A 27,333-nucleotide genomic window follows, 5' to 3' on the forward strand; every position below is an offset into this window, starting at 1 on the left:
GGGTGCAACAGAATCTCACAAATCACCACTAAAGAACTTACTCATGTAACGAAATACCACTTGTACTCCAATAATTTATGGAAAAAAATTAATATACACAAATCTGTAGCTCTGCTATACAAAAACAGTGACCAAGCTGAGAATCAAATCAAGAACTCAACCCCTTTTACAATAGCTGCAACAACAACAACAACAAAAACTTAGGAATACACTTAACCAAGGAGGTGAAAGACCTCTACAATGAAAACTACAAAACACTACTGAAAGAAAACATAGATGACACAAACAAATGGAACTACATCCCATGCTCATGATGGGTAGAATCAGTATTGTGATCATGACCATACTGCCAAAAGCAGTCTACAGATTCAATGCATTTGCCTTTATAATACCACCAGCATTCTTCACAGAATTAGAAAAAACAATTCTAAAATTCCTATGAAACCAAAAAAGAGCCTGCCTAGCCAAAGCAAGACTAAGCAAAATGAACAAATCTAGAGGCATTACATTACACAACTTCAAACTATACTATAAGGCCATACTCTCCAAAACAAAATGGTACTGGTATAAAACTAGGCATATAGATGACTGGAACAGAATAGAGAACCCAGAAATAAAGGCAAATACTTACAGTCAACTGATCTTTGACAAAGCAAAGAAAAACATAAAGTGGGGAAAGGACACTGTATTCAACAAATGGTGCTGGGATAATTGGCAAGCCACATATAGAAGAATGAAACTGGATCCTCATCTCTAACCCTATAGAAAAATCAAGTCAAGATGGATCAAATCAAATACTTAAATCTAAAGCCTGAAACCATAAAATTTCTAGATGGTACATTGCAAAAACCCTTCTAGACATTAGCTTAGGCAAAGACTTCATGACCAAGAACCCAAAAGCAAATGCAACAAAAACAGAGATAAATAGATGGGACTTAACTAAAAAGCTTCTGCACAGCAGAAGAAATAATCAGCAGAGTAAAAAGATATCCTACAGAGGGGGAGAAAATCTTTACAATCTACATCTAACAAAGGACAGAATCCACAAGGAACTCAAACAAATTAGCAAGAACAAAACAAACAATTCCATTAAGAAGTGGGCTAAGGACATGAATAGACAACTCTCAAAAGAAGATATACATATGGCCAACAAACATATTTTAAAAATGTTCAACGTCACTAATGATCAGGGAAATGCAAATCAAAAGCACAATGCAATACTACCTCACTCCTGCAAGAATGGCCATAATCAAAAAATCAAAACACAATAAATGTTGGCATGGATGTGGTAAAATGGGAACACTTTACACTATTGGTGGGAATGTAAACTAGTACAACCACTATGGAAAACAGTGTGGAGATTCCTTAAGGAACTAAAAGTAGATATACCATTTGAAACAGCAATCCCACTCCTGGGTATCTATCGAGAGGAAAAGAAGTAATTATACAAAAAAGATACCTGCACACACATGTTTATAGCAGAACAATTTGCAATTGCAAAAATATGGAACCAGCCAAATGCCTGTCAATTATCAATCAACGAGTGGATAAAGAAAATGGGATATATGGAATACTACTCAGACATAAAAAGGAATGAAATAATGGCATTCACAGCAACATGGATGGAATTGGAGACCATTATTCTAAGTGAAGTAACTCAGAAATGGAAAACCAAACATTATATACTCTCATAAGTGGGAGCTAAACTATGAGGATGCAAAGGCATAAGAATGATACAATGAACTTTGGGGACTCAGAGGAAAGGGTGGGAGTAGGGTGAGGGATAAAGTCTACACATTTGGTGATGGGTGCACCAAAATCTCAGAAATAACCACTAAAGAAATTATTCATGCAACTAAATACCACCTGTTCATTAAACACCAATAGAAATTTCAAAAATAGCATTAACAACATAAAAATAAATTTATTGGTTTTAAAATCAAATGAAATTAATCTGTAAAGAGATGATGACTTACCATCACAAAATATACAGAAAGAATTATTATACAGAAATTAATAATATAATTCTGTATTTTATTAATATACAGAAGTATTTATTGCAATGACTCTATTGCAATAAGTATTTTGTTTCCCAAAGGTAATTTCATTGAATGGGAGACACTCACTTGTATGACTAGTGTGTATCTTGGTTAAAATAAATGTTATGACTGTGTAGTTACACCATTTACATTCCCTTTCAAGACAGAAAAACTGTATACATACATGAAATAGTTAAATAATATTAACCTAAGACCAAATGACAAATTTACAGTAAGGTGAGCATAATTTTGGAAACAGACATAATTGTGGAATGGCATCCTCAAGGAAAATTTATAGAATGGGTAGAATTTGTATTTTGCAGGCATACAAATTTAGGAGAAAAAAATCACAATCAAAACCATTGAAGCAAAGAAGGAGACAGCTTTTTCAGTTAGAACAGACACTTTGGGTGGAAATAGGCAACTCAGTTCAGTTGGAAGTGCAACTCAGAACAGAATTAAGGACCACAGTGTCTGATGTCCCTTAATGCCAAGGTAGACGTTTTGAGATTTTATCTTTTAGGCAGAGGGAAAATTAAACTGAGAAGAGCTGGAATATCATGAAAAAAGCAACTTGGAAGAAATTGGTCAAACAATGACATAAAGGATAGAATTTAGGCAGAAGAGTCTAAAGAAAAAGGATGAATATTATTTTTTTTCTGATAAATGTACCACTGACACATAATTGATAATTAAAGCTAATAGTTTCTTATAGGGAATTCTGATCTGTAGCACTTTAAAAACTTTATTCTCAATGACTGGCTCTCTAGCACTCAGTGTATAACTGGAATGCCTTTTCTAAAATCAGTTATTAAGAGATGCAACTTATTTTTTTAAGATTATACAAACCATAAACATGGTCAATCACTGCCTCAGATGATACATATTTGATTGTAATACACTATAATACTATAATGTACTAGATTCAAATATATGTGACACTGAAGAAAACCACATTAGTTCTCTCTACAGTTAGCATAAGCAATAAACAATCACCTCTTAATAGTGCTAATTTTTGTGGCAAATTATACATAATAAGGATATTTTATTTTAAATATTTTAAGTGTACAGTTTAGTGACATATACACACTGTTTTGCAAATATCACTACCAACCATCTCTACAACATTTTTCATCTGCTCAGATTGAAACTCTGTATTTATTAAACAATAACTGTACATTTTTACCTCTCCGCAGCCACTGGTAACCACTGTTCTACTTTTTGTTTCTATGAATTTGACTATTCTAGTTACCTCATAAAAGTGGAATCATAAATAGTTATTATTTTATGATTGTCATATCTCAATTAGCATAACTCTTCAAGGTTTATGTAATAATATGTGTCAGAATTTCATTTCCTTTTTAAGGCTGAATATCATTATTATAGTAGTTCCGTACATATTCTGGAAATTAGTCCCTTATCATATGTATGATTTGCAAATAGTCTCTCCTGTTTCATAGATTTCCTGGTCACTGTGTTGATAATGTCTTCTGATGCACAAATATTTTTAATTTTGATGAAGTTCAATTTATATATTTTTTCTTGTTGACTGTTCTTTTGGTGTTTTATCCAAGAAATGATTGTCAAATACAAGTTCATCAAGCTTTTTATTTATATTTTATACCTAGAATTTTATAACTGTACCTCTTACCTTCAGGCCTTTGACCCATTAGTTTATTTGTTCTTTATTGAGTAAAGATTCAACTTTATTCTTTTGCATGTGGATATCCAGTTTTCCCATTAGCATGTGTTGAAAAGACTCTCCTTTCCCCATTCAGTGGCCTCAGCACCATTGTCAAAATTTTTTTGACCATATATGTAAGGGTTTATTTCTGGGCTCTGTACTGTGTTCCATTGGTCTTTATGTCTGTCTTTATGCCAGTACCTCACTGTGTTGATTAGTGTAGCTAGTATACTAAACTTCTTAATCAGGGAAGCAGTAAACCTCCAACTTTGTTCATTTTCTAGATTGTTTTTGCTACTTTGGGTCTCTTGAGATTCTATATGGAGTTAGGATGAATTTTTCTATTTCTGCCAAAAATGCCATTGGAGTTTTGATAGAAATTGCATTGAATCTGTAGATCACATTGTGTATTGATATATTTTTTTTAATGACAGGGTCTCCATCTGTCACCAAGGCTGGAATGCAGTGGTGCCATCATGGTTCACTGCATGCTCCCCAAGTTCATGTAATCCTCCTACCTCAGCCTCCTTAGTAGTTGAGGCTACAGGCATGTGCCACCACACTCGGCAAAATTTTTTGTAATTTTTGTAGGCACAAGGTTTTGCCATGTTGCCCTGGCTGATCTCAAATGCCTGGACTCAAGCAATCTGACCACCTCAGCCTCCCAAAGTGCTAGGATTACAGGCGTGAGCCAACACACCCAACTGAGTGTGTTGATATCTTAACAATATTAAGGCTTCCGCTCCATAAGCAAAAGCTATCTTTCCCTTTATTGATGTCTTTCTTAATCTCTTACTTTCCAATTTGCCTGACTTTTATTTCTCTTTTTAGCCTAATTGCTCTGGTTTAAAATTTCTAATTGTCAAATAAAGTGGTAAATGTGGTTCTTGTTCTTACAGGAAATACTTTACATTAAGTATGATAGTAGCTCTTGGTTTTCCATATACTACCTTCATCAGGGTGAGGTAGTTTTCTTTTATTCTTAGTCTGGTGAGGGTTTTTTATAGTTTTGGGTTAAACATTTAAGTCTCCAATCCATTGTATTAGTCTATATTCATGCTGCTGATAAAGACATACCTGAGACTGGGAAGAAAAAGATGTTTAATGGACTCACAGTTCCACGTGGCTGGGGAGGCTTCACAATCATCGTGGAAGCCAAAAGGCACTTCTTACACGGTAGCAGCAAGAGAGAAACAGAGAGCCAAGCAAAATAGGTTTCCTCTTATAAAACCATCAGATCATGAGACGTATTCACTAGCAAAAGAACAGTATGAGGGAAACTGCACTGCACATGTATTCACAGATGTGCTAACTCTAAGCTGGGTTTTCAGTTACTTAGACTATTTATCTTCCTGTCTGTAATTTTCCAAGACAGATTATTGCACATTCACCTGTTATAACTATAGACTGTCACTTTTCGTATGAATTACAGCGCGTTGGAAATTAACAAAATGGCTTTTGCAAACAATATCTTAGGTGAGGCAGGTAGGGAAGGCCCCCATGATTCAATTATCTCCCACCGGGTCCCTCCCACAACATGTAGGAATCATGGAAGCTACAATTCAAGATGAGATTTGAGTGGGGACACAGCCAAACCATATCATTCTACCCCTGACCACTCCCAAATCTCATGTCCTCACATTTCAAAACTACTCATGCCTTCCCAACAGTCCTCCAAACTCTTAACTCATTTCAGCATTAACTCAAAAGTCCACAGTTCAAAGTCTCATCCAAGACAAGGCAAGTCCCTTCTGCCTGTGAGCCTGTAAAATCAAAAGCAAGTTAGTTACTTCCTAGATACAGTGGTGGTACAGGCATTGAGTAAATACATCCATTACAAATGGGAAAAAATGACCAAAGCAAAGGGGCTACAGGCCCCGTGCAAGTCCAAAATCCAGCAGGGCAGTCAAATCTTAAAGCTCCATAACAATCACTTTTGACTCCATGTCCCTCATCCATGTCACACTGATGCAAGAGGTGGGTTCCCATGGTCTTGGGCAGCTCTGGCCCTGTGGCTTTGAAGGGTACAGCCTCCCTCCCAGGTGCTTTCACAGACTGGCATTGAGTGTCTGAGGCTTTTCCAGGTGCACAATGCAAGCTGTCAGTGGATTTACCATTCTAGGACCTGAAGGACAGTGGCCCTATTCTCACAGCTCCACTAGGTGATGCCCCAGTAGAGAATCTGTGTGGGGGCTCTGACCCCACATTTCCCTTCTGCACTGCCCTAGCAGAGGTTCTCTTTGAGGGCCCTATTCCTGCAACAAACTTCTGCCTGGGCATCCAGTCATTTCCATACATTCTCTGAAATCTAGACAGAGGTTCCCAAACCCCAATTATTGACTTATGTGCACTTGCAGGCTCAACACCACATGGAAGTTGCCAGGGCTTGGGGCTTGCACCCTCCAAAGCCACAGCCTGAGTTCTACATTTGCTCCTTTTAGCCACAGCTGGAGCAGCTGTAATTGCAGGGCACCAAGTCCCTAGGCTGCACACAGCATGGGGAAAACATTTTTCCCCCTAGGCCTCCAGGCCTGTGATGGGAGGGGCTGCAATGAAGATCTCTGGCATGCCCTAGAGACATTTTCCCTATTGTCTTGGCAGTTAACATTCAGCTCCTCATTACTTAAGCAAATTTCTGCAGCCGGCTTGAATTTCTCCTCAGAAAAAGAAATTTTCTATCACATTGTCAGGCTGAAAATTTTCTGAACTTTTATGCTCTGCTTCCCTTATAAAACTGAATGCTAATAGCACCTCTTAAATGCTTTGTTGCTTATAAATTTCTTCTACCAGATACCCTAAATAATTTCTCTCAAGTTTAAAGTTGCACAAATTTCTAGGGCAGGGACAAAATGCTGCCAGTCTCTTTGCTAAAACAAAACACGAGTCACCTTTGCTCCAATTCCCAACAAGTTCCTCATTTCCATCTGAGACCACCTCAGCCTGGACTTTATTGTCCACATTTCTATCAGCATTTGGGGCAAAGCCATTCAGCAAGTCTCAAGACTCTAGGAAGTTCCAAACTTTCCCACGTTTTCCTATCTTCTTCTGAGTCTTCCAAACTGTTCCAACCTCTGCCTGTTACCCAGTTCCAAATTCACTTCCACATTTTCAGATATCTTTTCAGCAGTGCCCCACTCTACTGGTACCAATGTACTGTACTAGACCATTTTCACACTGCTGATAAAGACATACCCAAGACTGGGAAGAAAAAGAGGTTTAATGGACTCACAGTTCCATGTGGCCGTGGAGGCCATGGCAGAAGGTGAAAGGCACTTCGTACATGGTGGTGGCAAGAGAGAATCAGAGAGCCAAGCAAAATGAGTTTCCCCTTATAAAACCATCAGAACTTGTGAGACTTATTCACTACCATGAGAACAGTATGGGAAAAACTGCCGCCATGATTCAATTATCTCCTACTGGGTCTTTCCCACAACACGTGGGAATCATGGGAGCTACAATTCAAGATGAGATTTGGGTGTGGACATAGCCAAACCATGTCATCCATTTTCAGTTAATTTTTGTATAAGGTGTAAGGAAGGGTCCAGTTTCAATTTTCTGCATATGGGTAGCCAGTTCTTCCAGTACCATTTATTAAATAGGGAATCTTTTATCCATTGCTTGTTTTTGTCAGCTTTGTCAACACTTCTCAAAAGAATACATACATGAGACCAACAAACATGAAAAAAAGCTCAACATCACTTATCGTTAGATAAATGCAAATCAAAACCACAATGAGATACCATCTCATGCCCATCATAATGGCAATTATTAGAAAGTCAAGAAACAATAGATGCTGGTGAGGTTCTGAAGAAATAGGAATGCTTTTACACTGTTGGTGGGAATGTAAAATTAGTTCAGCCATTGTAGAAGACAGTGTGGCAATTCCTCAAACATTTAGAACCAGAAATACCATTTGACCCAGCAATCTCATTACTGGGTATATACCCAAAGACATATAAGTCATTTTATTATAAAGATACTCACATGCATATGTTCATTACAGCACCATTCATAATAGCAAAGACATATAATTAACCCAAACGCCCATCAATGATACACTGGATAAAGAAAATGTGGTACATATACACCATGGGATACTATGCAGCCATAAAAAGGAATGAAATCATATCCTTCTCATGGCCATGTATGAAGCTGGAAGCCATTATCTTCAGCAAACTAATGCAGGAACAGAAAATTAAACACCTCCTGTTCTCACTTATAAGTGGGAGCTGAACAAGGAGAACACATGGACACAGGGTGGGGAACAGCAAACACTGAGGCTTGTCAGGGGAGTGTGGGGGTCGGGGAGATCATAAGGAAGAATAGCTAATGCATGCTGGGTGTAATACCTAGGTGATGGATTGATAGGTGCAGCAAACCACCGTGGCACAACTTTACCTATGTAACAAACTTGCACATCCTGCACATGTACCCTGGAAATTAATAAAATAAAATAAAATAAAATTTAAAAAAATTAGGCAGTATAAGTACAGTTTTGCAACATGGACCTATTGCAAAGTGGAGAAGTCTGGGCTTTTAGTGTAGCCATCATCTGAATAGTATATATTGAACCAATTAAGTACTTTTTCATTTCTCACCACCCTCCACCTGCCTCACTATTCTGTCTCCAGTGTCTACTACTCCACTTCCTATATCCATGTGTATGCATTATTTACCTCCCACTTATAACTGAGAACATGTGATATTTGACTTCCTGTTTCTGAGTTATTTTGTTTAAGACATGATTATTTAAAACATGATTTTTTATGGCTGAGTAGTATTCCATGGTGTATGTATATGTGTGTGTGTGTGTGTGTGTTTGTGTGTGTATAATAATTTTAATCCAGTCATCCATTGGTGGACATTTAGGTTGATTTCATATATTTGCTATTGTGAATAGTGCTGCACTAAACCTATAAGTGCAGGTATCTTTTGGTGTAATGATGTATTTTCCTTCAGGTAGATACGTAGTAGTGGGATTGCTGCATCAAATGGTAGATATATTTTTAGCTCTTTGAGAAAGCTGCATACTGATTGCCATAAAGATTGTACTTATTTGCATTCCCACCAACAGTGTGTAAGTGTTCCCTTTTCTCTGCATCTTTGCCAACATCTGTTATTATTTGACTTTTTATTAATAGCCATTTTTACTGGTATAAAATGGTATCTCATTGTGGTTTTAATTCACATTTTTCTCATGATTAGTAATGTTGAGCATTTTTGCATATGCTTTTTGGCCATTTATATGTCGTTTTTAAAAATTATCTCTTCATATTACTTGACCACTTTTAATAGGGTTATTTGAGTTTTTCTCATTATGACTGAGATGTTTGAGTTCCTTCTAAATTTCAGATATTAGCCCTTTGCCACATACATACTTTGCAAATATTTTGTCCCATTCTGAAGATTCTCTGTTCACGCTATCGATTCTTTCCATGGCCATGCAGAAGTTTTTTACTTAAGTCCCATTTGTATATTTTTGCCTTCATTGCCTGTGCTTTTGAGGTCTTAGTCAGGAATTTTTTGCCAAGGCCATTTTCTTGTGTTTCTTTGTTGATTTTCTGCCTCAATAATTTGCCTAGTGCTGTCAGTGGGATGTTGAAGTACCCCACTATTATTGCATTGCTTCCTAGCTCTTTTCTTAAGTAATATTTGTTTTATAAATCTGGGTGCCCCAGTATTTGGTGCATATATATTTAGGATTGTTACATCTTTTTGTTGAATTGATTTCTTCATGATTATATTATGACATTACTTGTCTTCTTAAACTGTTGTTTATTTAAAGTTTGCTTGATCAGATGTAAATATAACTACTCTGGCTTGCTTTTGTTTTCCATTTAAATTGAATATTTTTTTCCACCCCATTAACTTAAGTCTCCAAGTGTCTTTATCAATAAGGTGAGTTTCTTGTAAGAAGTGTATGGTCGGATCCTTTTTTTTAATCCATTTTGTCAACCTATTTAATTGGCATATTTAATCCATATACAGTCATGGTTAATATTGACACATGAGGTCTTATTCCTGTCATAATATTAATTGTTATATAGCTACTTTGTAGCCTTATTTGTGTAATTGTTTTATAAGACTTTTGAGTTTTATACTTTCAGATGTTTTTATTATGGCAAGTATTGAACAAATTTTGTATCCATGTTTATAACTTCCTTGAGCATTTCTTGTAAGTTTGGTCTAGTGGTGACAGATTTTCTCAGTGTTTGCTTGCCTGCAAAATACTTTATTTCTTCTTCATTTATGATGCTTATTCTGGCAGTATACCCAAGTCAGGGTTTACAGCTTTTTTCCTTAAATGGCTTGAAAATAAAATCCCAGTCTCTTCTTGCTTGTAAGGCTTCTGCTGAGAAGTCCACTGTTAGTCTGATGGCGTTTCCTTTATAGGTTACTATATGCTTTTCTTTTGCTGATTTTAGGATTTTTTTCCTTCATATTGAACTTAGTCTGATGACTGTATGTCTTGGTGAGATTCTTCTTACAATGTTTCTCTGGAGTTTTTTGAGTTTCTTGTATCAAGATACCTAGATCTCTTCCTGGACTAGGGAAGTTTTCCTTAATTATTTTCTCAAATAGTTTCCCAGACTTTGGGGTTTCTTCTTCTCCCCCAGGAATACCTATAATTTGTAAGTTGGGACATTTTACATAGTTCCATACTTATCAAAATCTTAGCTCACTTTTTAATTCTATTTTTTTTTGTTTTTGTCTGACTGGATAAATTAAAAAGTACTGTCTTCAAGCTCTGAGATTCTTTCTTCTGCTTGGTCTAGTCTATCGTTGAAGATTTCATCTGTATTTTGTAATTCCTTCAATGAATTTTCCTTTTCAGGAGTTTCTTTTTTTTTCTTTTTTTAAAAACTCTATCTCTTTGGCAAATTTATCATTCATATCCTGGATTGGTTTTCTGATTTCTTTGTATTGGTTTTCAGCTTTCTCTTGAATCCTGTTGAGCTTCTTTAAAATCAATATTTTGAATTATTTATCTGAAATTTCATGTATTTCATTTTGGTTAGGAACTATTGCTAAAAAGTTAGTGCAATGCTTTAGGGTTATTATAACGCCCTGTTCTTTTATACTTCCAGAATTGTTCCATTGGTTCCTTCTCATTTGAAAAGAAAAATATCACATCTTCTTATTTTTAAACTTACTTTTATTTGGATGAGACATTTTTTTCCCTTAAGGATGTGAATATAACCTATTTTGAATAAGATCATTCAAGATCAGGCTTTGAGTCTCAGTGTTTTCAGTGGCAAAGACTCTGTATGAATTTTTTTCATTATAGGTAGCCTTAGTGTGGTGATTTTCTGAAGTGCCAGTTGTCATAGCAATATTCTAGGTGTGTGAGCAGGCTCACTGCCTCCATTGGAGCTGGGGTGGCAGAGCTCTCCATAAGCTCATCTGCATTGGTGTCAATGGATTTTGTATTGAGTTGTGCATTTTAACCTACAGGCCAGTACGTGGCACTTGAAGGAGGTAAGAGCCAGTGGTGGTGGTGGTGGTAGCAGATGGGTTTATGCTTTATATTTGCTTATCAGGAGAAGGCCTCTGGTGCTTCAGGCAGTGGGCTGGCCTGTGGAACACCCAGTGGCCTGGGCTTTATCCTCAGCACCATGAAGAGGGTGAAGTTGGGCAGAGCTGGACCAGCTGGGGCCACCCTCAGGTATCCCAGTGGTGGACACAAGCACTAACCCTGACAGAGATGGTGGAGGAGTGATGTAGGCGCTGTATAATTTCCTTGGTTATAAATAGCCTTAGTGTAGTGACTTGCTCAAATGCCAGTTGTAGTATTAATGTACAAGGCAGGTGAGCAGGTTCAGGGCCTCCTAAGCAGCTGGGGTGGTGTGGGTGATGATGGTAGCAGAGGTTGCACAAAGCACTTTTCCTTCCCGAGCACTGTGCACTTATGTCAGCAGTTGTAATGGGCTGTGCAGGTTGACCTCCTGGCCAGTTGAAGGCACTTGCAGGTGACAGGCAGCTGGGGTGGTGGTAGTAAGGTCTGTGCTTGATCTTTACTAACAAGGAGAAGTACTCTAATGTCCCAGGGAATGTGCTGGGTTGTGGAACTCCCAGGGGTTCTGATCCCATGCTTTGCCTATGAGGTGGGTAATGGGGTAAAATTTTGATGGGGCTGCATCAGGCATACCCATAATCAGGCTCCCCAGTAGCAGGTGCAAGTGCTAGCCCTGATGGGTGAAAAAAAGTAGTTCTCAGGCCATTGGGGCAATACTAGAAGGAGTGGAGAAACCTCTGTCATTCCAAACAGCCAGCATAGGAAATGAGGAGTGGCTTGGACTCCAAAATTTAGCAGGCGGCAGTGAGACCTGCCTTGCTTCCTGGGTCACCACCCTGCAGAGCTCCCTCCTGAAGCCTACTACTGGCAGCAAGCTGAAACAAACAGCTAAGTTACAAACAGAACATCTCAGGTTGCAAAACTGTCCCAGGCTGAAGACTTTCCTGGCTGGGACAATAACTGGGGCTCCCAGATGATACCCTTCCTAGCCTGGTCTTGCAAAGGGGAGGTCACCCACCTCCTGCACGCACACTTCAATCCCATACCACTGTCTTCTCTCAGTTCTGGCCATGGGGACTCCTCTCCTGTTTGAGACTAGATCACAAATCTCAGTCTGGAGACTTGCCCAGCTAGTGACTGCTGCCCATGTGGCTTACAGATTTCAGTAGAGACTCCTATAGTTAGGATATTTATTGGCCACCTTCTATTGGAGCCAGGGTCTGGAATGCGTGCAACACACTTCCTGCTGCTACCCCTTCTCAAGGTCTCCCCACTGCTCCCAACATCAGATTCAGCGATTGGTAGTGTCAAGGAGCTCCCCCTTGGCCTAGATTACCCAGCTCCCCAGTGGGAATGTGTATTGTGGAGACACTTTCTCCCCATCTCATGCACTGGGGACTCACTCTCAATTTTCCACCGAACCCACAGCACAGGCTGCTGCCACCAAATTCATCAAAGAATCTGAGGTTTCTTTTGCTTTTATGTTAATCACCTGTGTTCCTTCTTGGATAAAAGTTTTCAGTGTGAATCTCTACGCACTATTTTGCTACTTCCTCGTGAGTGAGGCATGCCAGCAAAGCCCCTAATTTGCCCTCTTTAAAAAAAAATGCCTCTGTCTTCTAAGGTTTTTCTGAGAAATTTATTAGTCATCTCATTGAGAATTCCTTTTATGTGACAAGTTGCTTTACTCTTCTTGCTTACAATACTGTCTCTTTATCTCTGACTTTTGACAGTTTATAATGTGTCTTGATATGGTTTTTCAGCTATTATTTTTTCAAATATTCTTTCTGTTCTTTTCTCTTTTTCTTTTTTTCTTCTGAGATTTTTGAAATGCATATATTTGTCCACTGGATGGTAGCCCATAAGTCCCTTAGGCTCTATTCATATTTCTTTATTCTTTTCTTTCTTTTTTTTTTTTTTTTTTTTTTTTGAGGTGGAGTCTCACTCTGTCGCCCAGGCTGGAGTGCAGTGGTGCAATCTCAGCTCACTGCAACCTCCACCTCCCGGGTTCAAGCAATTCTCTTGCCTCAGCCTCCTGAGTAGCTGGGACTACAGGTGTGCACCACCACACTGGGCTAATTTTTGTTATTTCAGTAGTGATGGAGTTTCACCATATTGGCCAGGCTGGTCTTGAACTCCTGATCTTGTGATCCACCCACCTCGGCCTCCCAAAGTGCTGGGATTACAGGCATGAGCCAACATGCCCGGCCTCATTTTTCTTTATTCTTTTTGCTTCTCAGATGCAATAATTTTAAATGACCTATCTTTAAGTTCACTTATTCTTACTTCTGTTTCTTGAGTCTCTCATTGAATCCCTCTACTGAATTTTTAAATTGTCATTTTATTTTTCAGCTCAAAAATTTTTACGTTTCTTTATTATATTTTTTTTAACTTATTTCCATTATTTCTGTTTTTCTCTTGGCTTTAGCATAAAACAGCTATGTTATTGTCTTGTAAGTAAGATCTTTATATTTCTACAGGAAGATTATCTGGAGACTTAATTTGTTATTTTAAAATTGACTTTGTTTTTATTTTTTTCTGTTTCTTTGTATGCCTTTTGATCTTTTGCTGAAAACTGGGTTTTTGAAAAAACATACACCTTCCCAGTCTTTCAGGACTGGCTTCATGCATTAGACCATCACACATTAGCAGGTCATGTTCTGTGCCTGAGGTCAGCTCAGTATAAAGGCTTGATGTATTCTTGGGCATTTCTAGGGATGCGTGCTTTCCGGATGTGTGTGTGCGCGTATGAGTGTGTGTGTGTGTGTGTGTGTGCACGTGTGTGTATTTGATTCCCCAAATACATGGCCCAAATTCATGGCCCAAATCATGTTTCCTTTTAGAAAAACCCAAAGAATACAGTAGACTTAAACTGTGTTTAAACAACACTGCAGGACATTTTTTTAAAAAGGACAGATTCCACAAAAATTTTAAATTGCCTAGATAATTTATTGATGCCTTCTGTAGACTACAAAAAGTCATAGACAGCACACAACTCATAAAAGTTAGGGTACAAGCCTGACTACCAGAGAATGTACACAGATATTTTAAAAATCCATAATTGTATTCAACAAAGGTAAGTGCAGTTTTTATTTTAAGTAATGGTACCTAGGCATTGAATTCTATTCTTATGCCTGTGAAGGTATTTATGGTTCTACACCTAAAAGCCATATATACTTATAACTTCTTTATAAAACTCTTGATAGTTGGCAAAACTAAATCATATATAACATAAACATATAATATCTGGAATTACTATATTTGGGAAAAAATGTCTTGATCAAAAGTGCTAATGAATTTGTATAAAAATAATTATGGTATCTTAAGATTTCATTGACACTTCAAACTACATTGGAGCCAGGCGCGGTGCCTCACACCTGTAACGCCAACACTCTGGGAGGCCGAGGTGGGTGGATCACTTGAGGCCAGGAGATTGAGACCAGCCTGACCAACATGACAAAACCCCATCTCTAAAAAAATACAAAAATTAGTTGGGCATTGTCGCGCATGCCTGTAATCCCAGGTACTGGGGAGGCTGAGGCATGAGAATCATTTGAGCTTGGGAGGCGGAGATTATGGTGAGCTGAGATCGTGCAACTGCACTCCAACCTGGGCAACAGAATGAGACTCTGTCTTTAAAAAACAAACAAACAAACAAACAAACAAAAAACTGCATCGGAGTGCGAAACTCATGGGAGGGAGAGGTCAAGGAGAAAGATTGATATGGAAAACCCACGTTGTTTTTTACAGAAATGTTAAAAGTTGCCTAAAGGATTTTATCCAAAATAACACAGAACTGTACAAAGATACAGAGTAAATAAGAAGCTGTGAAGGTTTTTTGCTATGAAAATCACATCTGGCTTCACAAAAATTGTACCTGTCAAGAAGTAAATCATGTAAATATATAATCAGAGATACAAATAATTCTGTCTTATAATGGCAATTTTCTTGTAATAAGTCCTAGCAAGATAGTTTTCATTTATTATAGTTTGTGCTTTCTTGTTTCTATTGCGGTTTGGAAGCTTGTTGTTGGGGCTTCGTGGTAAAACTTACGTTGCATTAGCTTGGCTTCCTGTATCTAAATGTATGAAACTATATAAGTTGATTTTATCACAAAAAAGTATACATCTCATAACAAAAAAAGGATGTGGAATATACAACTATTTTAATTAAATAATCATTTTTATTCCCATTATTATAATGCCAGCATTTTCTTAGCTTTATTCTGTGAACCCTTGAAATTGTGGAATTCTGTGTTAAAACTTGAAAAAAATAAATTGGGCTGCATATTCTAGCACCATAGAGTGTTGACAGCAGAACAAGCCTTATTATGGTTTAAAATGTCTATATCAATTTAAATATGTATTTACACAAGCCACTAAAAATATAAACTTAATTTATATTTTCTGATCTAATCTGTGGCACAGACTACAAAATTAAATATTTACATACATATCCTATAAGTAGATGTTTAACCTCATTTTCTGACATAATTACACTCCCAAATTTACTAATTTTTAAAATTCTCATACTCTTAAAATTTTTTTAAAAAGAGAAAAACGAGAACTTTACACATACTAAACAAATGCATAGTATAGTAGTTAAACACATCAGATTAGATGTCAGATAGATCTGAGTTCAAACTTTAAATCTACTGTTTATTAATTATGTGACCTTGACCCAGTTACTTTACATCTCTAAACATCAGTTTCGTCATGTGTAAAGTGGGAATAATAATAGTATCAACCGCGTAGGGTACAAGATAAAATGTGGTAATGCACTTACAACATTGCTTGTCATATGTTAATTACTCAATAGGAGTGACTAAGTGAGTATGGTTGTTTTATTTTAGTATTATTGCTATAATTCGTATTATTTTTATTACTAACATTATCACCTATTATTACGCTATTATTGTCATTTTCCTTGAAAAGGCATTGAGAAAATGACCAGTGCTAAAATATAATTTTCAAAAAGTTAAAATCATGGCATTCACACAAATATAAAATGACACGTTTTATATATGTAACAAAATATCACATGTACCCCATAAATGTGTACAAATATATATCAATTAAAAAATTAAAAAATATAAAATGAACATGTGTTAAACATTTTATGTGATTCATAGATGAAGAAAACAATTATAAGATGTTAAAACAAGTTCAAAAGGGTATTTGAATAAAAGGTACTTAGACAACTTTGAATGCTGAAATAATTTCTCAATAGATGCAAAAGTAGTTGAAATCATATAGAACAATAAAAGTTAATCTTTGGGAGTCAGTATTTCTACATTGTGGAAATCAATTCTATTTCTATCAGGCAAAATGAATTTGTATAGTTATAGAAAAAAATCACAAGGAAACTCAGCTTTTTACAACTTAACTTCCACACACGCAAAGTTGTAAAACAGGCTTGTCAGTAGAAAGTCACTTAAAGGGGCTGGGCGCAGTGGCTCACACCTATAATCCCAGCACTTTGGGAGGCTGAGGCGGGCGGATCACGAGGTCAGGAGATCCAGACCATCCTGGCTAACACGGTGAAACCCCGTCTCTACTAAAAATACAAAAAAATTAGCCGGTCGTGGTGGCGGGCGCCTGTAGTCCCAGCTACTTGGGAGGCTGAGGCAGGAGAATGGCGTGAACCCAGGAGGCGGAGCTTGTAGTGAGCCCAGATCGCGCCACTGCACTCCAGCCTGGGAGACAGAGCGAGACTCCGTCTCAAAAAAAAAAAAAAAAAGCCACTTAAAGGTCCATCCACCCTCTACGGAATCAGATAATCCTCATTTCCATGTCTTGAACAATTTTTCTGATGCTTTTTTTTTTTTTTTGCTAAAACACTTTTGGCATACCCAATTACTTATGATAATAATTCAAATTAAAGTCTTCTAAAACCATCACATTGGTTGGGTCAGGGATCACTATTACTATAATGTTAATGAGAAAATTGAGGCAAATAAATCAAGCAAATGATTCCTAGTTACTCTATGTGGGAAAATAAGACCATGACTCATTCTCTTGACTTCAGGCTCAATTTCATTTCCACTAGAATATACATACTTACATTCAAAGTAAGGGGAGACAGAAAAGCAAAAGAGAAACAAGAAAGAGAAGTAATGCTATTTTAATTTGAATATGCGGTGACTACTTTTGTCTTTTATAACTGCTCCTGTGTATCTTTACAGATGATAACCATATTACCAATTAGTTTTTCTTCAAAAGAGTCAACATTCCCCAAACTCCTCTTCTTAATCAAGCAGTATCCAGATAATAATAATGTTAGCCAGATTTTGAGCATTAGTACTATGCCCATGCAGAAAAGTCTTGGGTCTTTGGATGCAAATTTATGAGGAAATCCTTCTATGAGTTTTGGTTCATGATTCATCTGTGTGTGTACCCTGACTGTCAGCTGAGTGAAGCATCAATTAACAATAGCAATTGTTTTGAAGATTTGGCTTAGCCAGAGCATGCAGCTATGAATTTTCTGGCTCTGACTTTTACCATAACATCTGAATTTAAAGTGATATGCTACATGACACTCAATGATATAGAATTTAAGTTGTCTGAGTTATTGCTGATTTCAGATAATATTTTTAAAATTGTAGATGTGAGAGCAATTTCAGATGGAAACTGAAATCAGATGATTTAGAATATCATTAAAGAGATACAAACAGTGGTCAGAGGGGGTAATACAAATATATCAGTGGAAAGTGATAAATGAAAATCTTCTTTGTAAAATAAATATATTTCATTAGGCTTTTACAAATAGGCCAATATAAAGTCAGGGAGCATTTTTGTGTGTAATTTTATGAGTTTTCTTCATTGTTCACCTTTTAGATTTTAGTGTTATATATTTTTAAAAATAAGCTTCAAAGGTTAGGAAAGAATTTCTAGAAAATATGTTAATATTACTTACTGAATTATTTTTCATTTTGCTTACTAAAGAGGTTTGGGGATAAGGAGTTAACTTCAGATTAAAATAGAAAACAATAAACCTTGACTCCACTGAAGATAAATAAGAACTCTCAGCAGGGAAAAACACAGGATAAGTCTATGACCATTCTATCTGCAAATAGTATTAAAACCAAAGTACTACATTTCATACAGCAAAAATAGAAAGGCAATTATATTCAGGTTTACTTTAAAATATGAGTTCTCATATAAAATGGATCAGGCATCTTATGTATAACTTCGACAAATAAATAATAAAAGAAAAACAAAAGCCCTTCAATCAGACTACTAAATGAGAGGAGACTTTTTTATATAATGCCAGGATCACAATATGTGAAATTTCCTCAAAGTTTATCTGAGCACTGATTAATGAAGTGCATGGTATCTTGGAAAGGGAAACTTTTTCAATATGCTTTGAGAGACACCTAGTGGCTGAAGGTAATTTTGTCACGTACATATCCTTAATATTATCCAATCTACATTTGATATTTGTATAGTGTTTTTAATCCTATGTTTCAGATAGGTATACATTTTAAGAATGTCTGTTATTTTCAGTTGTAACTCTATTGGACTTTTCCTCCCAATTATCTTTCTAAATCCTTTAAGGTATGATCCAAAAGGTGATTCATGGTCAACTGTGGCACCTCTGAGTGTTCCTCGAGATGCTGTTGCTGTGTGCCCTCTTGGAGACAAACTCTACGTGGTTGGAGGATATGACGGACATACTTATTTGAACACAGTTGAGTCATATGATGCACAGAGAAATGAATGGAAAGAGGTATTCGAATTAAAATATTCAAATTACTATATTTCAGGTTTTAAAAAGAAGATATTAAATTATATTTTTGAAATTAGTTGTATTCTCTTCTCTAGGCCCTAACAAGATCTTTTAGTGAAATTTATAGTATGTGCTCTATCTATGCCTTAGAGAATTACAAGTTGATCTAGTTGATATGATATGACATGATAGTTGATAGCAGGACCCATCAACTTATAACCCATCTTATATAAAAGGGGACAGACCATTCTCGTGACTTCATGAAAGCATTCCCTTTAAAGAAAATAAGCGAATCCAATAAAATACTTCAGTAATAAATAAATAAAATAAAGCATTTTACCATGGCCAACTTTTTATGTATATGTTGTGACCTGAGAACCAAAGGGCAGCATCTTCTTCCGCAAATATCTGCCCTTTTTATTGGCTGGCACCTAGGAGACAAGCCTTCAATCTTTACCATATAGAGACTGTGTAGACTGCAATACTCCTAAATTCTTCAGTCAGTCAATAATTTAGTAAACAATAAGGGACCAGAATTAAAACCTCTCAAAAGTGCTGGGCATCTATTAGAACTAATTTCAAAGAGAGTACAAAAAATAGCATTGAAATGGCATCTTTGAGATGTTAAAGGCAAATTTGACCCTTTTGACTGCTTTGCCAGTGATAGCCCTAGATTTATTCTAAAATATTTAATACTTTGTCAATTAAATGATGAGTTAACAAAAAATATAAAGTATGATTAACTCTTTACCATCTCCACAAAAAGGCAAACCTTGTATTTGGTACCTAACTTCATCTTCCTTTCTACTGACTTCATGCTACTCTATATTCTACAGGGTACAGCTATCTATTGCTCTAAATAAATTGGTGCTAATATAATGACAGCTGATAATGAGATTTTAATCTCTCTCCTCCAATAATCTGATTCATTAAGACTCAGAAACCCTCAAATGCTACAATGTAGGTAGCTGCTGTTTTGTCAATGCTTAGGACCAACCAGAAATCGAAGGAAAAAAAATATCATGCAAGGTGTTAGGACAAATACAATAATCAAGATGTTTGACCAGCTTACGGGATTTATTTTTCTGAAGATTGTAGACAAGTAGCTAAGAGTCCTGGATTATATTTTTGGCTGTGTCACTGTTTCATCGTGTGATCTTGAAAAGAGTGAAAGAGAACTAACAGATGGTGGGATTATAACTACTAAGTGCAAATTGTCATTCATTATTTCACTCAATCATCACAAAAACCTTGACGTGTTAGTATAATTTGGTGTAATTTTTCAAGTGAGAATATTATCAGAGAGATGAAATTTACTTAAGATCACCTGATCCTCAAACTCAGGTTTTTACCATTCTAAAGGCTATGTTTTTTCCAGCACACTACACTGTTTTCTAGGCTGCAGATTATCTCATCTTTAGACAAGGTGATGTTAGACCAAATTAAGTAAGGACTTCTTCAACTATATTGAATATAATATTTTATATTATGCTGAAATCAGAGTTCCAACAGTGTTTTGTTTCTTATTTTGTGTTTTAGGAAGTTCCTGTTAACATTGGAAGAGCTGGTGCATGTGTTGTAGTGGTGAAGCTACCCTAAAGCTATCTATCTTTATCAAATGGAATGAAACTAGATAATTTCAAGAAACTGAGTAGGACAAAGGGAGAAAGAAATACATGTTCTTTTTCCTGCAATTAATAATCAGACTGGAAAATTGTTGTATCATTTTAATTTGTAGTTACAATTGCTTTCATTCGTGAAGCCGAAACGTTTTTAAACATGAATTACATATGAATTATTAAGCATATGTGCTTTCGCAGCTGATAATATAAAAGGAAATCCCACAGTCTAGATATAGCCCCATTACTACAAAATGCTAAAATATTTAATGAAAATTGATGGTGGCCACAGTGTGCAGGTTATAAAAGCATTAATACATTTCAAGGTAAGAGCCTTAAAAGTTAAAAACATTTTCAGTTTTTTTTTAAAAAACGTACTCTTATTATCTGGAACATAGAAATATAAAAGGTAACATCTAAAGCTTAGAATAGTGTGATTTTTAGTAAGCCATTATTCTCCTATTCAAATAATATCCCAAAGAGCTAAACAATTCCTTACATTTACCAAGAGGAAAGCTTTTACTGTGTTGAAGCTAAAAAAATAATGGCTCTTTGACAAAACTTGTTATGTTGATCGCGGTATGTCAAAATTTTTACAGGTTTGCTCATCTGCCAGAGCACACATATAAATTTGGTATTTCTTAACATATTATCTTGTTAGATTTGTTACCAGTAAAATATTACTGTAATTTCATATACACAGTCTATACAATGAAATAATGAATATTTATCATATTGATACAAACTGTGACCTCAGCTTCAGAGTGTCAGGGCCTCACTTGTATAGAATGTAATGTTCTCCTCAAACATTTATGTTAACTCTATAAACAAATATCGTTAAGTTAAACAAGTTTTCAAAAACAAAACAATTTTTAAAGTACCTTAAAATTGAGGATGTTACTCAGTGTTAACACATGGGAACACCAAAATATTCAATAAGCCTGGTCAATTCTATAGTTATCTTTTTTGTACCAACACATGCTTTTCTGTTACTGTTATATTATCCAGTAGAAAATGTTAGGATATGTGTGCTATATAAAAAAAAAAAAAGACTTGTTAAGTTTTAAAATAACAAAAATGGCTAGTTGAATAGTATTTTATGTGTAATTCTTCCATTTATTCTGTTTAATTATACAACTAAGATGAAATATTGAAAAACCCTTTGTGAAAGTAACTTTTCAAGTAAATGCACAACTTTAGAATTTCTACAAATAAGTTCTTTTAAACAGTCTTTTTATTGTGGATTGTGAAATCAAAATCTGGAGAAATGCTTATAAAATATACTACTAGCTTTTAAGTTTTAAGAAAGAAGAACGTAAGTTGTACAAAGATATTTGTACTTTGACAAACTGAATTTAAATAAACTTTATTTCCTCTCACTATAGTGTGGCTTTAGAATATATCAAGTACAACCTGAATGGACTTTTTGATTTTACATTTCCTATATCACTAAAATACTTAAACACAAAAATAAAATTCCACTCCTTTATTTCTTCTTACACCTGCCATTGTCTCTAATTCTAAAGAGAGAGCTATAGATTTCTGCAGTTCTAGAGGTGAAGATAGAGACATAGAGAGGCTGTGAAACACACATACAGCCCTGTTAGGTCTTTTGAATTCACACCTTATTGAAATCAGTGTAGAAGTAGAGTTACCTAAACCTTTATCGCCAATGCACAGCTTGGCCTGTTAAGTTAAATGTGGGTGTCAACCAGTGGAAAAGATCAAAGGACCTTTTGCAGCCTAGCTTGCCAATCTTCCAGTAACAACGAGGTGCTACCAATAGGCAGACTGTGTCTAGAGTCATGCATGGACAAGAGGAAAGTGAAAGTTGAATACTCTCTTCTCAATGGCATAGCTGGACTTGATTAAGTATTGACTCATAGAAGAGACATGTATGTTTCCCGGGGCTACCCCTTCATAGCTGCATTTAAAAATGGTGTTCAGGCCACTATGGCTGCTGTGGTTTGAATATTTTTTTCCCTCGAAAACTCATGTTGAAACTTAACTCCTAATGTAGCAGTACTGAGAGGCAGGGCCCTTAAGAGGTGATTGGGCCATGAGGTCTGTGCCCTCCTGAATGGATTAATCCATTCATGGATTAATGGATTATTATGAGTGGGGGACTGGTGACTTTATATGAAAAGGAAGGAAGAGTGACCTAAGCTAGCATGCTCAGGGTGCACCGTATGTCCCCTGGTCATGTGATGCTATGTGTTACCTTGGGACTTACCTGACAGCTCTTACCAACAAGAAGGCCATCCCAGATATGGCCTCTCAACCTCAGACTTCTCAGCCTGCCTAACTGTAAGAAATTAATTCTTTTTCTTTATAAATTACCCAGGTTCTGTTTTAAGCCTCAGAAAATGAACTAAGACAATGCCCTAGATGAGCTGCCAAAATCTGAGCAGATATGAGCCATCAGAATAGAGACCTGCAGAGGCCCAGGGCACTCAAACATAACTGTGCTTGTCTCAGTCAAACTTAATTGGGAAAAGGAGGAGTAAGAGCAGGCCCTTTCTGACATGCTTTAGCAGAGATAACTTATCAGGGCTAGTTTAAACAAATGTGTATAGGAAAGGATGTTATTTATATATTCTTACAAGAGTGTAAGGGCTCACACATTTACTGTACTCAGATCTGAAAGACAATGTTGCTTCTTGATTTTTTTCTATAATCACTATGACCGTGTTCACGATTCCCTACTCTGCAACTCTCAGCATGCATCATGATGATTCTCTAACACTGTCTGTCACCTTCCTGTATTTCCACAGAGCATGCAAGAACTTCTACAAAACTTCTATACCACACAGAAGCTGAAAGAGACTCTGGGGCACTAAATTCAGATCCTTTCTCCACACAGCAATGACATTTATCAATCTGACTCAGGTGTGGCTGTTGCCCCTTTTTGATATGGAGGGAACACTGAAAGACAGTTTCCTTCTGGAGTTCCAAATGCAATATAGAAAAAAAAACCCTGTGACTCTGGATTTTATTTTAAGTTCTCTAACAAGACTCCTACCTTGAGATCTTAGTCTAGGTAAAGAAAAAAAAAAAAAGGTCATGAAACACAAATGTCCTCAACTGTCATCATTCTATGTTTACTTTCTCCCAATCACATCACCTGAGGTAGAAGAGATTTTTCAGTTGCTATTTCTCTTCGTAATGAATTTTCTTTACATCCTGTCCACACTGCTGGAGATACTAAGTCCCAACCTAAATGATGGAAGGAGCATCTCCCCTCTTGTCTGTGGAAGATATCACATGAACTACCTAATTTTCAAGCATGGATCTCCATATTTCAAAGGAAAGTTTTAAAAATGTTTTTAAAACTTCAAATATCTCACCACAGTGAATTATGGGTAAGGTGATAATATGTTTAATTAGCTTGATTTAATCATCCCACACTGTATACATATGCCAAAATATCATTTTGTATGCCATAATATATATGATTTATGAATTATAGTAATATTAATAAAAGTGTTAAAGCTTTTTCTCTCTTGACAATGCTTGCTTTTTAAGATTATGGCCTGCTACAGACTAGGAAAAAGTCCTGCTCATGGTGCTAAGTGTTTAATATTGACACTATCTTTTTTTCTCTCATAATCCTAATCCCCTCCCTTAACACACACACACAGAAACACACACACACACACACACACAGAGCACATGTAAACAATGAGGGAAATGGGTACATATAGCTAAATATGGGGAAGGTTATAAATGGGTAAATATTAAAAAATAAAAGCACATTAGTATTTTTCAGATATTAGCCCCTTGACATAAACATCTATTAAAGATCTACTGTGTTTAGGACCCTAGTGATATACACTAATTAAAACTAAGTTTATGAAATTTGTACCAAATCCAAGCCTATAAAATTTGGATTATATTTTAAGTGATGGAGAATCAGAATTAAATGGCCTCGCCTACACAAAAGCCACCTGAGTTTGCCAAATTTACATTTCATCTAAGGCCATGGAGACCTTCCTTTAAATAGCCCTGTTTCATATGTTAAATTCAGTTTATAGCTGGGTGGTTAAAAAAGCCTAACTTGACCAGAGCTAATTATATCTTACCAGAATGGGAACACATGAATTCTGGCCATCAAATCACAATTAGTCTTATTTTAAAATAAAGCTGAAAGATAATATCATATGGAGATCTTTGAAAGTCATATCTTCACAAAACCACTTAGACTTATTTCAATTTTGTCAAGTCTACATAATGAGATGAGGCTGAAAAGCCAGTCAGGCTGAGCAAGTTCATATGAATTCATAGAACCATCCTGGCTAATCCAATGCATAGTGAGTTGCCCAATTGAGAGAACATCTGAGCCAGTAGACACAGACAATTCTCCTCCTCTAAACTATAATCTCTCACATGAATTTTAGTTTTATTCATTATAGTATCCCCAGTGTCTGTCCAGATTCTAATACAAAATTGGTATTCAGTAAATAATTGTGGAAAAAATGAATGAATAGATTTTTGATGGCGTCAAAGACCGGGTATTTTATGAGAATGGGATTCAAATAACAGCACTGGAAACATGGCCAAATAAGTAAAGGCAGAGGTCTGTCTCTCTGATTCTATCCACAAATATATACACACATTAAAAACACAGAGAGATGAGATAACACAAAATTTAGGTACATAGCTACACTCCATAGAAATAAAGGCAAATCTTTAGATGCTAGAAATCAGAGGGAACTTAGAAAACAATAATAAACTCAGATGGTAATAGAGATCATCTTGGAGTTAATGAACTTAGTTATAACCACCAAGGGCAAAGATTTTAATACCAATGTGTAGACAAGAATCATTAAGGTCTTGAGACTTGGTCTTGAGACATGGTCTTGAGACTTCTCCTAGGTGAAGAAAGCCAGGAACATCCAGAAATGGACACTTTAAATACTTAAAAATTCACTGGGGAGGTAAAGTAGCAGATGACGCACAAATAAGAAGATAATAAACTGGAGGGAAAGCCTGAGTACACTACACAGAGTACAGCACAAAACGTTTAATAATGGGAAATATATAAAAAAAAGAGGAGTAGAAGATAGAACGAGATGGTCACATTTGAGATTCTTCACATTTAAAAGCACATTGATCTTGCAAAACTGACTAAAGTTTATATGGAGAAGCAAAATACCCAAAATAGTCAACACGAAATTAAAGAACAAAATTGGAGGACTGGCACAACCCAACTACAACTTACTATAAAGCTACAGTAATCAAGAGAGTGTGAAATTGGCAAAATAGCGGACAAATAGATCAATGGGACAGAATGGACACCTTATAAATAGACCCACATAAATATAGTTAACTGATCTTTGACCAAGGACCAAAGGCAACACAATGGAAAAAAGATGGGCTTTTCAACAAATGGTGCTGGAAAACGAGACATCCATATTTAAAAAATGAATCTAGACAGACATTACACTCTTCATAAAAATTAATTTAAATTTGATCACAGATCTAAATGTAAAGTGTAAACCTAAAATCTCCTAAAAGATAACATAGGAGAAACTTTAGATCACCTTGGGTTTGGTAATAACTTTTTAGATACAACATTAAAGACATAGTCTATGAAAGAAAGACTTGATAAGTTGAAGTTCATTGAACTCAAAAACTTTGCTGTGTAAAATACACTGTCAAGAGAATGAAAGGAGAAGCCGCAGACTGGGAACAAATATTTGCGAAAGGCGTGTCTGATAAAGGACAGTTATCCAAAATATACATGGAAATCAACAATAATAAAACAAACAACCTGAACAGACACTGTCTTAGCTTGGGCTTCCATACCAAAAATACCATAGATAGGTTAGTTTATAAGCAACAGAAATTTATTTTGTGTTTTAGACTGCCAATTTCTCTTTGTATCTTCACAAAGTGAAGAGCAGAAAGGACATTCTTTCAAGATTCTTAGAAATTTATTAATCCCATTCATGAGGGTTCTGCTCTCATTTAATCCTAATTACCCTCCAAAGGCCTCACCTTCCAATATCATCGTGTTGGGGGTGGGAACAGTCTCAACATAGGAATTTGGAGGGGCACAAACATTCGGTCCATAACATTCACCTCCTTAATCCCCCCAAATCATGTCCTTCTCATATGCAAAATACATTAATCCATTCCAACAGTCCCAAAACTCTTAACTGTTTCCAGAATCAACTCAAAAGCCTAAATTCCCATGTTTCATCTAAATATCTAAATCAGATATGGGTGAGACTCAAGGTATGACTTATTCTTTTTTTTTTGAGACAGAGTCTCGATCTTTCACCCAGGCTGGAGTGCAGTGGCATGATCTCAGCTCACTGCCACCATGCCAGGCTAACTTTTGTACTTTTAGTAGAGACGGGGTTTCAACCATGTTGGCCAGGCTGGTCTTGAGCTCCTGACCTCGTGATTCCCCCACCTCGGCCTCCCAAAGTGCTAGGATTGCAGGCATAAGCCACCATGCCCGGTAAGGTATGACTTATTGTACAGCAAATTTGCCTTCAGCTGTGAACCTATGAAACCAAACATGTTAATTTGCTTATAAAAATATAACAATGGGACAGGCATAGGAGAGAGTCCCATTCTGCTATGGAGAAGTAGGAAAGAAAAACAGGAGTGACAGGTCATAAGTTCAAACTATAAGGGAAACTCCATAAGATTTTAAGGCTCAGGAATAAACCTCTTTGGCTAGATGCTCTGCCCTCCAGGCCCAACAGGGTTGGAGGTACCAACATCAATACACAC

The 27,333-nt window shown here is 36.3% G+C and overlaps 1 protein-coding gene across 3 annotated transcripts in view; it reads left to right on the top strand.

Moving 5' to 3' along the window:
- Window positions 1-24,082, top strand: part of KLHL4 (kelch like family member 4) — a 152,249-nt gene extending 128,167 nt beyond the window's left edge. Inside the window, exons 10-12 of one of the 3 annotated variants that reach the window (XR_938403.3) lie at window positions 18,796-18,967; window positions 20,507-20,912; window positions 23,361-24,082. Coding sequence is in view for 2 of the 3 variants with exons in the window: in NM_057162.3 (NP_476503.1) it covers window positions 18,796-18,967; window positions 23,361-23,426 (238 nt within the window). In the remaining variant the exon portion in view is untranslated. Of the gene's footprint in view, window positions 1-18,795; window positions 18,968-20,506 lie in introns of all 3 variants that reach the window. The other 2 variants (NM_019117.5, NM_057162.3) reach the window with 2 other exon arrangements.

Source organism: Homo sapiens, chromosome X, assembly GCF_000001405.40.
Source record: "Homo sapiens chromosome X, GRCh38.p14 Primary Assembly".
Classification (NCBI taxonomy): Eukaryota; Metazoa; Chordata; class Mammalia; order Primates; family Hominidae; genus Homo; species Homo sapiens.